We start from the raw sequence: 17141 nt of genomic DNA on the forward strand, positions 1-17141 counted from the left end.
TCCTCCTTCTGTGTCTGGAGTTGGTTCCTTCCGGTGAGTTTGTGGTCTCGCTGACTTCAGGAATGAAGCCGTGGACCTTCACGGTGAGTGTTACAGCTCATAAAGGTGGTGTGGACCCAAAGAGTGAGCAGCAGCAAGGTTTATTGTGGAGAGTGAAAGAACAAACCTCCCATAGCATGGAAGGGGACCCCAGCGGGTTGCCACTGCTGGCTGGTGGCCAGCTTTTATTCCCTTTTTTGTCCCTGCCCATGTCCTGCCGATTGGCCCATTTTACAGAGTGCTGATTGGTCCATTTTACAGACTGCTGATTGGTCCATTTTACAAACCTCTAGCTAGCCACAGAGTGCTGATTGGTGTGTTTTTACAGAGCACTGATTGGTCCATTTTACAAACCTCTAGCTAGCCACAGAGTGCTGATTGGTGCATTTTACAATCCTAGCTACAGAGTGCTGATTGGTGCATTTTACAATCCTCTTGTAAAACAGAAAAGTTCTCCAAGTCCCCACCCGACCCAGAAGTCCAGCTGGCTTCACCTTTCACTTCTTCTGTTCCAGAAATAATATTCTGCAGAAACTTCCCATGCAGTAAATAATACATTCCTTTTGCTCTCATTTCCCAAAGTAAAATAATCATAAACAGAATTTTAAGATATTTCTTGTAAGCCTTAGAGTTTATAAACATTCACTCATTCAAAAATATTTATTAAGAACATGGTTCTAATAGGAAAGATAAGATATGTACACAGATATGTATAATGCAAGATTGCAAGGAAATGTCAAGGGCTGTCACAGATAACATGGGTGAGGGTGAGAGGTGAGAGGGTGGAGAGAGAACCTGAAAGCAGTGAATTGAGGGAATGAAGAGAGAAGAATAACTTGAGAGATACTGAAGAAGAAGAAACAGAATTGCAAACAGCTGTTCACCTTCAACACAGAAAGCAGATGTAATAGAAATAAAAGACTTAGGGCCCGGGGCGGTGGCTCATGCCTGTAATCCTAGCACTTTGGGAGGCCGAGGTGGGTGGATCACCTGAGGTCAGGAGTTCGAGACAAGCCTGGTCAACATGGTGAAACCCCATCTCTACTAAAAAATACAAAAATTAGCTGAGCATGGTGGAACCCACCTGTAATCCCAACTACCTGGGAGGCTGAGGCTGGAGAATCACTTGAACCCAGGAGGCAGAGGTTGCAGTGAGCCAAGATCGCATCACTGCACTCCAGCCTGGGCGACAGAAAGAGACACTGTCTCAAAAAAAAAGACTTAATGTTGATGTTTGTTCAGATAGTCAAGAAAACTTACACTATTTGATTGACCACATGTCTATATGCCATTGCAAATACCCTTACAAATAGTTATTTAAAATAAAATACGTTTTTATTTAAATCTTTATTTTTATACATGTTGCTTATCAAACATTATCATAGAAATTTCATTTTGATTCAAGAGCAGAGCAACCAGTTTGTGAAAACAAATCCTCGAAATTCTCACAGGTAGAGCCTGATAGAGTTTTCTTCAAATTTATTGAATTTGACTTTATGAATATAGACTGAGAAGAAGTTTGAGACAACGGTTAAGACCATGGGCTCTGAAATTGGATTATATGGGTTCAAGCCCTCTCGCGTCATTTACTAGCTGTGTAAACTCAAGGAAGTTATTTAACTTCTCTATGGACTTCTAATCTGTAAATGAGGATAATGTAATTGCACCTCTTGCTTAAGTTTGTTATGAGAACTGCGTAAGTGCATAGAATAGTGTCTGGCTATAGTAGGCACTCAGTGAATATTATATTTTGTTTAAAGCATTCTTTCTGATAGTAGAATTATTGTCTACATCCAGATATCGAGATCTTAATTTTTTCAAGAGTGACTGTGAAAACTTAAATCATTGTTTAACTTAAATTCATTAAATGCAATGCAGACGTTGGCATTTCTAAGTATAAATTCATCAGGAGGGAATTTCAGTTTGTGCAACAGGACTACATTTGAATTGTGAAAGATTCACTTTTTTGTTGTTGTTTTGTTTTTGTTTCTGAGACAGAGTCTCACTCTGTCACCCAGGCTAGAGTGCAGTGGCGCCATTTTGGCTCACTGCAACCTCCATTTCCTGGGTTCAAGCAATTCTGCCTGAGCCTCCCAAGTAGCTGGGAATACAGTCGCGTGCCACCACGCCCGGTTAATTTTTTGTATTTTTAGTAGAGACAGGATTTCACCATGTTGGCCAGGCTGGTCTTGAACTCCTGACCTCAGGTGATCCGCCCACCTCAGCCTCCCAAAGTGCTGGGATTACAGGCATGAGTCACCATGCCTGGCTGAGAGATTAACTTTTATAAATATATTTGGAAAGGCCTAGTGGACATAGACTCCCTCCCCCTCAATTCTGTCTCTATACTCATAACCTCAAGTGGGCAATGTGTTTCTCAGCACCCTGAAAGCTGCTGGGGTGCCAGCGTTTTGGCACTTCACCTTCGATGAGCCCCCGATGATGAGAACTTGATTCTTCTCTGGGAAAAGGCATCTTCTTTCTTCCCTTTCTTTCTCTTCTGTGTAAAAGGGTGGCGAGAGGAGGAATTAAGATCGCTTTTGTTAACTCATATCTCATGGCTCTGAGGACAAGGGACCTGCTTCTAGTTCTGCCTTTGACCTAGGAAATAAGGCTTTAACCAAATTAAAATGCAAGGATTGTTATTTGAGGACTAACGGAAATAGTGTATGTGAAGCTCAGGTGTCTGGCACATAGTAAACACTCAATAAATGGTAGCTATTTTGAGTTATTTTTCTAAAGTGTAATGAGAGTAAGCAAGTAGAGACCTTGAATAAAGAAAATCTTTCAAGAGTCTTGGCACTAAGCCAGGGAGGGATATAGGATTGAGAGGTCTTTTTAATTTTGCTTACTTGTTTTATTTCTATTTTAAAGATGAGATATATCAACTTAAGATATTAACTTGAGAAGCACATCCAAACAGAAAAATGTCTTTGCTGATGTCTCTTCCATGATGCTGAAGTAGATCCAAATAATTCCCCTGGCAATATCCCATTTCTCACACCTCACCCTCTTCAGAACAAGCCTTTCTCCTCCTCTACCTACCCTTATCAGCTTTCCCTCCTTCTTCCTTCTCTTTTCTGGCTCTCATGATGCCCACTTTAGATCCTTACTATGTACATTAAGTTCATCTCTTTTTTCTTTCATTCCTTGGCTGCTTCTTCCTCTCTGGTCATGTCATCCTCTGACCAGTCCCATATCAATAAGTAGTTTTTTGTTGTTGTTTGTTTGTTTGTTTGTTTTTCATTACAAAGGTTAATGGGATCAAGACAGGGATAGGGAATAAACATAATTGATAGAGTAACGTCCTTGGAAGGGATAGGGTTGAGAATCCAGATGAAGAATTAGCTTTGGGCTGCAGGATACTTGGTCATCTGAAACCAGACAGAAGCAAGAAAAAGTAAGTAGAATATCAGATACTCACGAAGGAGTCAGAAACATGAGGGAGCCTCTACTTTTTTCTGTAAGGAAGGAGGCAGTGTCATCTTCTGAAAGTAAGAAGGGTAGTCACCAAGGTGAGGGGCTAGAAGGTGTTAAACAAAAATTATAGGAGGCCATCGTTTTGGACAAAGCTTCTGCACTAGGCCCCAACAGACCAGACCAAACCAAATGGAGTCACTCATGCTAAACGCCACATCATCAAACAGAAACTCTAAGGAAACAGATGGATTTCAAAACAGACTAGTTTTTTGTGAGATCGAGAGATTCCAATCTACCTGAGTCAGGGTAATGAGGAAATCCCCTCTGCTCTAACCCTTGCAAAAATGTAAGTTGAAGTAACCTGATATTAAGCAGTCAGCTTTTTTTTCCCCTATTGTTCAGTTTCCTTGTTCCCACCTTACAAAATCCACTGTTTTTGCTATTGCCCAGTGGGGGCTCTCATTCTATTTTGTAGAATGGAAGCTGCCAGATTCATGAATTACAAATGATAGACAATTAGATCTGTAACTAAATTTGTTGTTGTTTTGTCTTTTGACAATGGGAATGAGCTGAAGGACCAGGACAGGCATGGATAGCCTGGGAGAGGAAGCTGATTGGGCTGACGAAGGCTCTCCAGGCTGTCTTTAAAGTTTGGGAAAAGGAAAAAAGAAAAACTGGTTTTATACCGGATGAGAGCATAAAATAGAAAAATGATGACTATGAGATGAAAGAAAAAACATAAACTATGTCATAGAACAAAAAAGAAAAGGCACAATTACTGTAAGAAGGTGTAAAAGTGAGTGAGTAAATTAAGAAATGAGCAGCATTTCCCATTTTTACATTCTTGGGCCATTTCCTTTACTCCATCCTCCCATCGGGGATTAAAGGCTTTCATTAAAGCCCCCCTTCCTGTTTTCCCATTCCACGGGCATAAAGAAATAAAGCACATACGGAATGGGATCACTGAATTTTGGGAGTAGCCAGGGGCTGTTAAAATAAGAAATTGTTGACTATTTGCCTACTTTCCCATTTTCCTCATTCTTTCTTTATCCTTGCTGTCTCCTTTCCCCTCTATGTTCTTATTTCTTCATCTATTTTAACTGTTTTAAGATTTCTCACTGTTTATTTTAACAGCCTTTCCTCCACTTATGCATTCCCTAAGCTTTTCTTTTAATTTGAATGTTATATTGTCACTGTAAGACTCTAGAAATTAGAGTATGGGGGAAGAAGGATTACAAAAGATTAAAAAATTAGAAGAAATTGGCTCAATGAGAAACTGGAAGATTTAGAATGAATGCACAATTTGTGAAACAAAAAGAGAGGCATAATAAATGGGGAAGAAGCAGAATGAACGGAAGATATGAAATAAAGGTAGAAATAAAACATATTAAGGAAATAAGGGAATAAAAATTAAGGAATAGGTATATTTTACATAGATACTATACAGCAAATTTGAGTTTGATGTTTCTTCCCTCCCTTCCCCCACCAATAACCCTCATAGTCATTTTTCAGTTATAAATAATTTTTTACTCATTGGCTTTACTCTTCTGGTCATCCCATCTGGGAAAAGAACATAAAAAGTTGCCATTTACACATGAGGCAAAGAGCAGTTTAATGAAAAATCTGGGAGGGAAGAAAGTGCACATTTTCATGAATAAGCTTTCACATGACTTGGTCAATCTGGAGGGTTCACATTTTATATATTAGAACTTCATTTAAAAAAAGAATTTTGTGTTTTCATGTTTTTCTCATTAAGGCTGAGTTCACCTCCGTTTCTGTCCATTCTATTTTCCTCATTTACTACAGTCCATCAGGTGAACGCATGCCCCAAACAAATGCAGCATGAGCTGTTACAAAACGCAGGGAGAGGAATTGATCCTTCCCACCAAAGAGAACCCTTTATGCTGAAGGAGCTACAGACATCCCGATTGGTCTTGATGGAAAACCCCTGTGGGTAGCGTGTGTCTCCTGCTAGTTCATCTCCTCTGTCCCAGAAGGTGTGCTAGAATATTTGAGTATTTATGCGGTCTTCTCTAGACTGTTGAGTTCTTATTCTGGCTGAAATCATGAAAATGAAATGCACTTGAATGGGTGGAAATGCTTTGGGGTGAAATGATAATGTTTGTATGTTTGGTTTAAATAATGATGCTTACATTGGACTTTCCCTTTAGGCTAATCACTACATTAATTATCTGGGTTTTCCATTCATCTTTTCCCTCATGTTTAAAGTTTGATTTTCTTCTTGCTGTCAAAAATCAGTAGGTCTTTGTGTTTGGCTTTCTTACAGTATAATAGTAATATCAATCATGTCTACCATTTATTGAATACCTACTTTGTCCCAGGTACTGTTTGGATATTTTATCTTTAGTTTTTTGAGAAACTTTTGGGACAAATATTAGTCCTATTTTATAAATGATAAAGCTATGGCTTAGAAAAGTTAAGGTTCTTGCCCAAGGCATTATGCCTATTTTAGAATAGGGCCTCACCTGTGTCTGGGACATTGACTCCTTCACTACATGCTGTGACATAATCCCACATTGCTGGTTGAGATTGGGTTAATAGAACAGAAGCCTTCACTTGGAGAAGAAAGAATTTTCTTCTTTTTCACAGAGAAGGAGACGGTTCCTTTAATGAAATGCGTGTAGAAATGTGGAATTTACACTTGATGAAGGGCCATGATGTTACTGGCTCTGTAAAGAAGCAGGGAAAGAAAAATGAGCCAATTTTTAAAACTATGTATCACCGAGAACCCATTTGGAGCAGGAGAGGGGGGATTAGACTTTGATTCCCTTCACATGCTCCTGGTGAACTATCTCACCGTCATCAGTAAGGATGATTTTAAAGACAGCCAAGGGATGAAAGAAAAACATCAATGTTTGCACCTTTAATTTAAAGTGTAGTGGTTTTCGATGTTTTCTTTTTCCCTTCCCTAGCATGTAAAATACTGTTTCTAGACAGGTCAATGAAATATTTTTCCTGTACTACATCTTGGCTTCTTCCTGATTGCTTCTGCTTCTCCTGTAGCTGCTGGTACAAGAGAATGATAAAGCAGACTCATGCAATGATTGTGTAGATTGACTTGCTGCTAGAGAATTTTGACCGGGGGCAGGTAGCATGCTCTTCCTTGCAAAGTGCCTTGGAAAATGAGTGGCTTTTAAAACCACTTACCGTGATTATGTGTGTGTTTTCTAGGCTGGCAAATACAAAAGGGTGGCTCAAGTTCAGAGATCTGTTAAGTCTTTAGGATGTCAGTGAAGACTACGTCTTTCTGTAGTGAACTCTAGGAATGGTTATATTACTAGTTGCCAAGCATATTGCCACATCTCACAGTCTTATCACATGTGACCTTCTCATTTAGATTTGCTTGGAAATTTTAATTTTTCCAGAATCCTGGCAGGAGAGATAACTCCAAAATGCATGTCTAAATATAGCCACTTTTCCTTTCAACTGTGGTAAGATTACGTTTTTCTTTTTTTAATGGCGAGAACTGCTTTAGGGTGGGAAGAGTGTGAGGAATGTTTGTTTTGGAGAACCTCTACTGGCACATGGAGTCTTCGAGTACAGCAAAGAAAGAAATATCAGTATCTCCAGAGAAACAAAGGAGCCATAAAATCCAGAGCCTGTTTAGAGGTATGTTAATGGCAGGAAGGAGACCAGGGCTTCAGGATGTACCCTGAATATGTGTGAGACTGCATTATGAACGACATCACAGTGTACTTCTTGTGGTTTTCTTGCAATTACCCCTCAGCCCAACTGAACACCTACTGAAAAGAGATCTCCACTAACAGAGTTCTAAGTTATGATGAACAATGCTCATTATAACACAGCTCTGCGAGTCTGGTCCTCTGTACAGACTTCCAAATGATTTTCAGATGCCAAATTGAAGGATGACAAATATACAGAGGGAACACGTGAAAACTGCAGTAAGATCGCACTGAAACAGAACATCAAACAATAGAACATCTGAATAAATGTGAAGTAAACCCTGTGTTCTCTCCTTAGACATTTCTTTAAATGAGGTAGAAGGGGACAGCTAGACTAGGATCCATTTCTGGCCCAACCATGTACATACCATCCCTTTGAGAGTTTCTGAAATGCACTAAGATTAACTTTCCTAATCTATTAATTCTATATTATAGGACTGTGGGGTTTTGTGAGGGAAGGGAGTTATTAAATAAGGTAACTTAAATTACAAATGTCGCAAAGTCTTCTATACTTTCTTGTAGCTATTGTCTTTCCCTGACTCTTCAGGGAGTTTTCTGTAGACACTGCTTTTGGCTGTGGAGAAAGTGGTAAGGAGAGGACACTGTCACCCCGGGTTAAAGACTTTTTTCCTTTGAGTATATGTTTAAGGCATTTGAGTACGTGTTTAAGGCCTTTCATTTGCAAAAGGTAGGCCTAGGACAGAGAAATAGTTCTCTGATCATGGGGTCATCAGCTACCCACAGAGATCAGCCAAGCCAACTCAGACCAGAACTGCCCAGCTGACCCCCAGAATCATCAGAAAATTTTTTAAAGTGATAATTACTTTAAGCCACTGTGTTTCAGGGTTGTTTGTTACTGAGCAATGAATAACAGATGTGAGGCTTCTCAGATGATGGAAGCATCCTGGTTGACTGTCCCCTTGGACTAAGGTTAGATCCTGAATTAATCAGATCTTTGCCACAGCAAGACTATTTTAAACTGAAAGACACTGTCCTACCTTGAGGCTACAAATGAAAAGTAGTTTTTCTTCCAGCCAGTTAGAACTTGAGGGCCTGTGACGAGGCCAAGCTCAGGTATGGAGGAAAAATGTTACATTCCTCTACTTTTGAATACCTTTTTATGAAAATTGACAACAGTGCTCCTGAAACTTTACTGTACATATGAATCACCTGGGGTCTGGTTAATGCAGATTCTGATTCAGTAGGTCTAGAATAGGCCCCAGATTCTGCATTTGTAACAGGCTGCCAGGTAATGGTGATACTGCTGCTCATTGCTTTGTGGACCATATTTTGAGGCTTTACATTACCAAATGCTTAGTACCTGTATTAGTCTGTTCTCACACTGCTATAAAGACATACTTGAGACCAGGGCTATAAAGACCTGATGCTGGGTAATTCAAGAAGAAAAGATGTTTAATTGACTCACAGTTACATATGCTGTACAGGAAGTGTAGCTGGGGAGGCCTTAGGAAAATTACAGTCATGTTGGAGGGCAAAGGGGAAGCAGGCACTATCCTCACATGGCAAAACAGGAGAGACAGCGAGTGAAGGGGGAAGTGCCACACACTTTTAAACCGCCATATCTCATGAGAACTCATGATCACAAGAACAGCAAGAGGGAAATCTGCCCCGTGATTCAATCACCTCTCACCAGGTCCCTCCCCCAACATTGGGAATTACAATTCAACATGAGATTTCGGTAGGGACACAGAGCCAAACCATATCAGTACCTGATCATGTTGATGATACTTAGCAAATGTTAGGTCCTTCCTCCTTCAATGCCCTCATCTCTCTCTTTCACAGCTCCCTAAGAAGTCTTATTTGAAGAGTGTTGAATCCAAAAACACCCTCATAGGCATCAGGAATGGGGTACCTGCCCCACCGGGATGTGTATGTCTCATTCCTTTGCCTCCTGTAACTTCATAGGCAATCTTGCCATCTGCTGAATTGTGGTTGGATCTCTGATGTCCTCTGGGTCAAACCCAATAGGATTCCTTTTACCAGTGCTCCCTTTCCTTGACATTCCTCCTCCACTCGTCACTACAGAGCACCTTAATGCGGAAATGTTCTCCTCCCACTGATGTTGTTGTGCTTAATGAGCTCTCCTGATTGTACTTCCATGTCTCCTAGATCACCTTACTCTTTCCTTGTCTCTCTTATTTCTCCCATTCTCTTCCAACATGCCTTGTAAACATCTTGCAGAGAACTGCCTCTGTGTACAGCTTCTAAATCTACACTTTGGGACTTTATCTTCCAATATTTTGTGTCCACTCAGTAATACACATTCACTGAACTCCTCCTATAGTGCCAACTCCCTGGGGATGCAGACATAAATACTGTGCTTCCTTCCCTCCCAGAGCACACAGTCAAATGGGGTCACATTACAAGCAAAATTTGGATGGGCAGAGGCATTTAAATGATGCTATTGTGGAGAGTCTGGGCTATTTTTCTCTTTTACCCAACATAGAAAATCTGATCCACCAACTTTCCCACCTAAATCTTTCCTCAGAATTGACCCTTTGCCTGCATTTCTTGGACTATTCCCTGGGTGTCTGGCTTTATGATCCACCCAGATTCCCACATTATCCTCCAAGATCTAGTGTTGCCAATTGCCAGACATCCTTTGAGGGTAGGGGTGGTGTTACTCATTCTATGGTTAAATGAATGAAGTGTCTCCACTGAAAACAATGAGGAATTTACTTTGATATGGTTCTAAAAGATTTCTCTTACTTTCACCTTGCTCCTTGAGATTATTTCAAACAGTACGTTAGTCATAAAGAATTTTTAAACAAAAAATGCTGTTTATTTACATTTAATTTGAAGACAGGTAATAATAAAGAATTCAAGCTACCTAGCCCTTCCTTTTGCAATACCTTTTCCATACAAGAGTTCCAAAAGCTTTTAGTAATGTTAGCTGTAAAATGAATATTCAGTTTTAACTTCAGCTATGAAAAGAACGGTTATCCACCTTTAAAATTTCACCCTTCTTTTTAAAAAGCAAAAAATTAATTCTTAAATCCTTGATACATGATGAATTGTGGTTTTCCCCACTCCAGTAGTATTTGGCTGACATTTCACTTCATGCTTGTCACATTTATAGTCCCAAACTAGCAACACATGGTGCAGGAAAGGAGTTATAGGCAGTGGGTGGCAGGATTTGTTGTAAATGATGTGAGAATGTCGGTTACTCATTCTTGTTTCTCAAGTAGGTTTCTCCCCACTTGCACCTTCTCTATTCCAAGCTCAGATGATAGTAATAATTTTATGGCAGCATATAAATGCCAGCGAAGTCAAAGAATGCATAATAAAACAAGCATCCGAAAACCATTAATTCATCATATCTGTGCTTAACTGTTTTTTTAAATCAACAAAATATTATTTTAGCTCTAACTCCCTCCCTCTTTGTTGCAGGACTAGTGTTCTTTTAGGACTCACTGTCTAAGAGTTGCTTGATAAAGAGTGCTGAAGAATGTTATTTTAAACGAACTTGAAAATATACTGTTGGTTCATGGAAAATGATCACTGGTTTACCATTTCAAAATAAAGGGCAACAAAACGACAAATTGCTGAGTGTTGAACCTTCGATTTGATATGGTTCAGCTTTTTAGCTCTGCATGATTTCTCAACCATGATGGTTAGTGGTGAGGTAATTACTGGAGCCAGTGTAATTAGGGACTATATCACATTAAAGACACTGGAATACTTGGGTTCAGAATTACTTCTGTGTTCCCCACAAATTTGCTATCAGACTTCTTCATGCAAAATTTTAAAATGTTTCTCTCCTTTCTGAGAATTTTGAGAATTTCTTTATTTAATAAGGGGGCTCTCTTTTCCCTTTTGATTTTTCTACTTGACAGAAGGTTTACCTGGGCTCATTCTGTAATTTTGTGTACCTTTATCCAAATTTGCTTTTATTCCTTATATGCTTACCTAATAATCTGATCCAGCTTCTTCACTTTGTGACATTTTAATTTGATTTATATTGTATTCTGCATGTAGTCATCGTGTGTCTTTTTATGTTTCCCTGTTTAACATTTTCGGATCCTTTAGACTGACTCCAAAGAATTTCTTTGCTGTTTTGGATTTCTTCTCAGCAATCTTTCTCACTTATTTTTGAGAAAGCACAATGAGCTGAATATTAAAGACTATATTCTTTAATCGTCATCTTCCTTTCTTTAAAGCTCTAAATTTCATAGTTACCCAAATTTTCTATGCTTTCATGGACAAAAATCAAGGTGTCCAAGAAAGCAATTTGTCAGTACATACCAAAGGTCTTATAAATGATGTGGTAGAAGTATATTTATTGATGGGTAAGGGATGTTCACGAAATATTGTTAGGTGAATAAATAACTTTCAAAAATTAATATATACATTGGGATCTCATTTTTATGTATTTTTATAGATATGCTAAATATTTTATATTTAGGATATAATATATAGAAAGAAAAACCTGTGAGGATAGGTACCAATATAACAAACTGTTTTATTGTGAAATATTTAAATATATAAAATGTGAAGAAAACATATAAGGTAAATAAATAGTCATACACAATAGTCAACTTGTGTGCCCATTGCCAAGTTTCACCAGTCTTACAGACATATAGTAATGATACCATGGGATGGAATCCTCCTATACAGCCTTGCTATATTTCATCCCCTTCCTTCCTCCTATGCAGCCTTGCTATATTTCATCCCCTTCCTTCCTCACCCAAAGTATGATGATCCCAAAGGTAGTATTCATTATTCTCACGTGCATTTCTAAATTATTACTAAATTTGTAGGCATCTATAAATCATATATAGTATTAATGTTACATTTTTAAAATTATTTCACTTAGTATATAACACCACTTGCTTTTTTCTTAAAATCATGTTTTTGAGATTTATCCTTATTTACACACATAGTTCTAGTTTATTTATTTTCATTTGTTTTTTTAATTGATTTTGAATTTAATTGCATTATAATCAAATAACATTAACTATAAAATGGTTTTTTAGATTTTCTTTAAGACAGATTACCAGGCCATTTATTGTAACTGTAGGCTTGAAAAAGTATTCACACTCTAGAAGTTGAGTGCAGAGCTATGAATTAGTTGTTCACATTTTCTCTGTTCTAATTTTTTTGTTTTATCTATCTATCGAATGACATGTTTTTGAAGTTTTCCTCTAAAATTCTCAATTTCTTCTAATAGGTCTGGAAATTTTGCCTTCTGTATTTTGAGGCTGCATTGTTAGGTACATAAACATTCAAAATTGCTGTACCTTTCTGATGAGGAATTTATATCTTTTTTCATACGTAATGTTCTTATTTATGCCTATTAATGCTTCTTTGTTTGATATTTAACAAAATTAGGCCTGTTTTATTTTGGATAATATTCATCAACTAGTTTTTAAATCCTATATTTTGAACCTTTTTATGTCCCTGAATTTTACACATTTTTTTGTAAATAGATATCTGGATTTTGTTATTTTTTTTCTATTTCATAAGTAAATTTAGTCTTTTATACTTCTTATTAATGATTTATTTATATCTATTTATACTTAATTTTTTTGTTTTGTTTTATTTTTTGAGACAGGGTCTCACTCTGTCTTCCAGGCTGGAGTGCAATGGCACAATCACAGCTCACTGCTGCAGCCCTTACCTCCTCGGTTCAAGCAATTCTTCCACCTCTGCCTCCTGAGTAGCGGAAACTACAGGCACATACCACCATGCCTGGCTAATTTTTGCATTTTCTGTAGAGACAATGTCTCACCATGTTGCCCAGGCTGGTTTCGAAGTCCTGACCTCAAGTGTTCTGCCTGCCTTTGCCTTCCAAAGTGCTGGGATTACAGGCCTGAGCCACCATGTTCGGCCTGGACTTTATATTTAACAGAATTTTCCTTTGCTGCCTTTTTTTTTTTGTTTTAATTGCTTCCTTTCTAGACTTTTCATTTTCTAAATTTTCTCTGATCTCCTTTTTTCCTCTCTACTGGTTTGGAATTTAAGTATTCTATTTCGATTTTTTGTTGTTGTTGTTGTTGTTTAATAGCACTGAATTTTTTTTTCTTTTTTTTTGAGATGGAGTCTCACTCTGTCACCCAGGCTGGAGTGCAGTAGTGCCCTCTCGGCTCACTGCAACCTCCGCCTCCCAGGTTCAAGCGATTATCCTGCCTTAGCCTCCTGAGTAGCTGGGATTACAGGTGCCTGCCACCTCACCCGGCTAATTTTTGTACTTCTAGTAGAGACGGGGTTTCACCATCTTGGCTAGACTTGTCTTGAACTCCTGACCTCATGATCCACCCTCCTCGGCCTCCCAAAGTGCTGGAGTTACAGGTGTGAGCCACTGCAACCAGTCCTAATAGCATTGAATTTTAACACCTATATTTGACTTCAATAAATTTAAAATTTGTGAATATTTCTACCCTTTCTTAAATGATATAGAGATCTCAGATTTCTTTTTATTTCAATAATCCCAATTTCTACCTCTTTTTTTTTTTTAAGAAATTGAACAGAGTTTCAGATTCTTTGCTTAATTCCTGAAATATAAGACCTTGTCAAGAATATATATATTGGCCATGTCAATAAATTATTTCAAGAACTACTTTCTGTGTATCTTCTAGAAGATGTAAACTGGTTAATGTACATAACTCAATGTCATTCCAGTCACCAATCAAAAAATTTGCACTGATAATCAAGTATATTTCCAGAATTGTACCAAATATCCTGAGTTATGTAAAGAAGCTGGTCGCCCAGTTCTTTTATCCAATCAGAATGGCTATCCTGTATTCATATTATTGAAATCATTTCATCCAGACTTAGTGCAGCTAGTTGTGTTGTAGTTCTTATTAGGAATTGAACTCCATAATTCTTAGGGCTCCTCTTGTGTCATAGATCCTAAGTGTGGAGAGTTCATATGCAATATGTAGAGATAAAACTTCATGACAAGCCTAAACATAAAAAATTAAGCTACACATTCTCTTCATCAATATATTAATTTCTGAACACAGGAGTTAATCGTGGTGAGTACTTGATAAATAAAAATACAGATGGCCATCATATTATTGTTGGAATAAAAAGTAAATCCCATAAAGAGAAAAACAATTGAAATTACAATCTTATATTTAGTGGTTTTTAAGTCCAAATATTTACAGATATATAGCTTAAATGCCACAGAGAAGCACAATTTGTGCCACAGAGAAGCACAAATTGTCTTTTTACAGTGATAAGTCTCATCTTATGTATTCACCTATAGCTTGCATTGTTCCAGAAAGGGTTTTAAAGAAAACAATAGAATACAATATGTGCAATGAGATCAAATAAATCCTAAATGAGTATTTGATGAAATTTGGGCAGGTTAAAAATTAGAATAAGAATATTTAGTTTAAGCCAGATTTCAGCAAAATATCTACCATGAGATTGTATATATTTATTAGAAGTGAGATACAAATTTGGCTCTAGATTTTCTAGCAGCTAATATAGGGCAGGAAGGGGAGTTACTTACGAGATTCGTAGTGTCCATAAGATTAAAAAAAAATTGCTTGAGAAAAGCAAACCATTTCTGTTACAGAAACCAAGAGGTAATTTTCCTCCAGGTAATCATGACACACTGACACGTAGGGCATGCTAATCTTAACAACTAGCACGGTAACTTCTGCACTAAGATGCACAGGTGTTTTCTGGGCAGACAAGTGGCATCAGAAATCAACAAAGGCAGTCTGCAATATTGAGTTCTAAACTGAAGGGAATTTGTTGGAATGTCTTTCAGGCAACCCAAACTTCATTTCTCTCGGTCAGCTTTTGCTTATGTACTGCATGACAGTAAACAAGAGAGGTTTACCCCATGGTGAGCATCTGGAGTGCAGCTATTTTCCCTGTTAGTAAGCGTGCAGAGCCACATGCTGTAATCATCAGCTGTGCTGGGTCTGGCCAAAATCCTCTCAGGAGTGTTGACAAACTCCCAAGAAGAACACCTCAAGAGAAATCTTCCCCACCTCCCAGTGGAGGAAAACAAGATACTTGCATTCAGCACCAACGTTTTCTCGAGACACAACTCAGGACCCATTCTAGCATACAGATAAATACAAAAATACAAAAAAACAAAACAAAACAAAAAAAAACACCACCTCAAAACACTGACAATGAGGACCCACAGAATTTTAACCTTTCCTAGTATAAGTAAGTCTGTCCAAAAAAGCCCTCCAAGATAAACATGGTTGGATAATAATGTATGCTGAGATAAACGGAGGTGTTAATTTGTTTATGGTTGTTAACTATAGGCTGGATGTTGGGGTCATCTAATGAAAATGATTGCTTTGGCTATAAGATGAAGGAGCTACAGGAGCCCTTCTTCTTGGCAGTCATGAGTGAGAGGGGTCTCTTGTCGATTCACTCCATTGCTATTTAATAACAGCAAAGCCATGCCTTGTGCCTGGAGGAGGGAAATCTCATTTATTTTGTTGGACCTAAAACACTGGGGACACTTTTGATACCTAGACGCTGGTCATTTTTATACCTTTTTCCTATAAAAACTGTGATATTTTAAAATCTACTTTCTTGGCCTTTTCAAGTTTTAGAAGCCTTTTCAGTATAATTGCATCAAAATTACTAGAGATTTTTTAGTGGGAATTACATCCGTGTTATAATAGTTTGCTAAATTTCATAAAATTATATCTTTTATTTATTCTATAATGGAAATGATTTAAAGTCATTGTACTAGACAGGATGTTACATAGTTTAGTTGGTAGTTAAAACAATTTTTTTTTTAGAGACAAGGTCTTGCTCTGTCACCCAGGCTGGAGAGCAGTGGTGCCATAATAGCTCACTGTAGCCTTGAACTCCTGGGCTCCAGCAATCTTCTTGCCTCAGATATCAGTAACTGAAATATGGGATTATTGGGCCATTATATTCATTGGCACAAGAATGATTCTCATGCTGAATATTTCATGCTTCTTCCAGAATCAATGTTTAGGAGTAGATTTTGTCCTGAAAACCAATTTTCTTTAGTTTTTAAGAGAGTTTTTAATTAGGGAATGTGATTCAACAGAAAAGACAATGAAGACTCAGATGATTTTTTGTTGTTGTTGTTTAAGTCCTGAATCAACTACTTTTTTTCTTTCTTTTCTTTCTTTTTTTTTTTTTTTTTTGAGATGGAGCCTCGCTCTGCAGCCCAGCCTGGAGTGCAGTGGCATGATCTTGGCTCACTGCAAGCTCTGCCTCCTGGGTTCACGCCATTCTCCTGCCTCAGCCTCCCTAGTAGCTGGGACTACAGGTGCCCGCCACCATGCCCAGCGAATTTTTGTATTTTTAGTAGAGACCGGGGTTTCACCATGTTAGCCAGGATGGTCTCGATCTCCTGACCTCGTGATCCGCCCGCCTCGGCCTCCCAAAGTGCTGGGATTACAGGCATGAGTCACTGCGACTGGCCCTGAATCAATTACTTTCTAGATTACCTGGCACAAGTCACCTAAATTATAAATCTCAGTTTATTTGTTACAAATATGATTAGTAATAAGGGTCCTACTACTTTATGGTACTGATGTGATTACAAAATAATGTCATATGTGTGAAAACATTTAAATCACATAAAGTCACTGTTGCTTTAGTACATGTGGTTAATAAAGAGGCACTCACTAGCCTAGCTTCATGGGGATAAAAAAAGGAACAGTGCGGTAGGTTGTTTAAAAAGCTTTCTATAGTTCAAACTATCGTGCATGCAGTGGCATCTTAGTGCCTGCTCTCCAATAAGCATCTCTTTACTTCATCCTACATCTCCACTTGGCCTGGCGTGCTCTGCAAACCTGCTACTGACAACAGTTTTCCCTGCTGATAGCCCTTATCTTTATCTCTGTTATTTAGTATTTTTGAAACTTCTATCTTTGGCCCCTGCATTCTGGACATCCTTTCCAGGCTACCTGTGTGTACATGTTCAAACAAAGTAACCTTACACAACATAACCTCAAAAACATAGTAGGATGATGGAATCAACCAATCCTGTAGCTT

At 38.2% G+C, this 17141-nt stretch overlaps 1 protein-coding gene and 1 long non-coding RNA gene across 12 annotated transcripts in view; both read left to right on the top strand.

Annotated features, from left to right (window-relative positions):
* LOC107986990 (uncharacterized) overlaps positions 1–8633 on the top strand; it is a 39734-nt gene extending 31101 nt beyond the window's left edge. Inside the window, exon 3 of the long non-coding RNA XR_001746428.1 lies at positions 5266–8633. This is a non-coding gene — a long non-coding RNA (uncharacterized LOC107986990). The remainder of the gene's footprint in view (positions 1–5265) is intronic.
* Positions 1–17141, top strand: part of ADAMTSL1 (ADAMTS like 1) — a 1004318-nt gene that overhangs the window by 468925 nt on the left and 518252 nt on the right. The gene's annotated exons all lie outside the window — the stretch shown is intronic.

The sequence above is a fragment of the Homo sapiens genome, chromosome 9 (genome assembly GCF_000001405.40).
Source record: "Homo sapiens chromosome 9, GRCh38.p14 Primary Assembly".
Classification (NCBI taxonomy): Eukaryota; Metazoa; Chordata; class Mammalia; order Primates; family Hominidae; genus Homo; species Homo sapiens.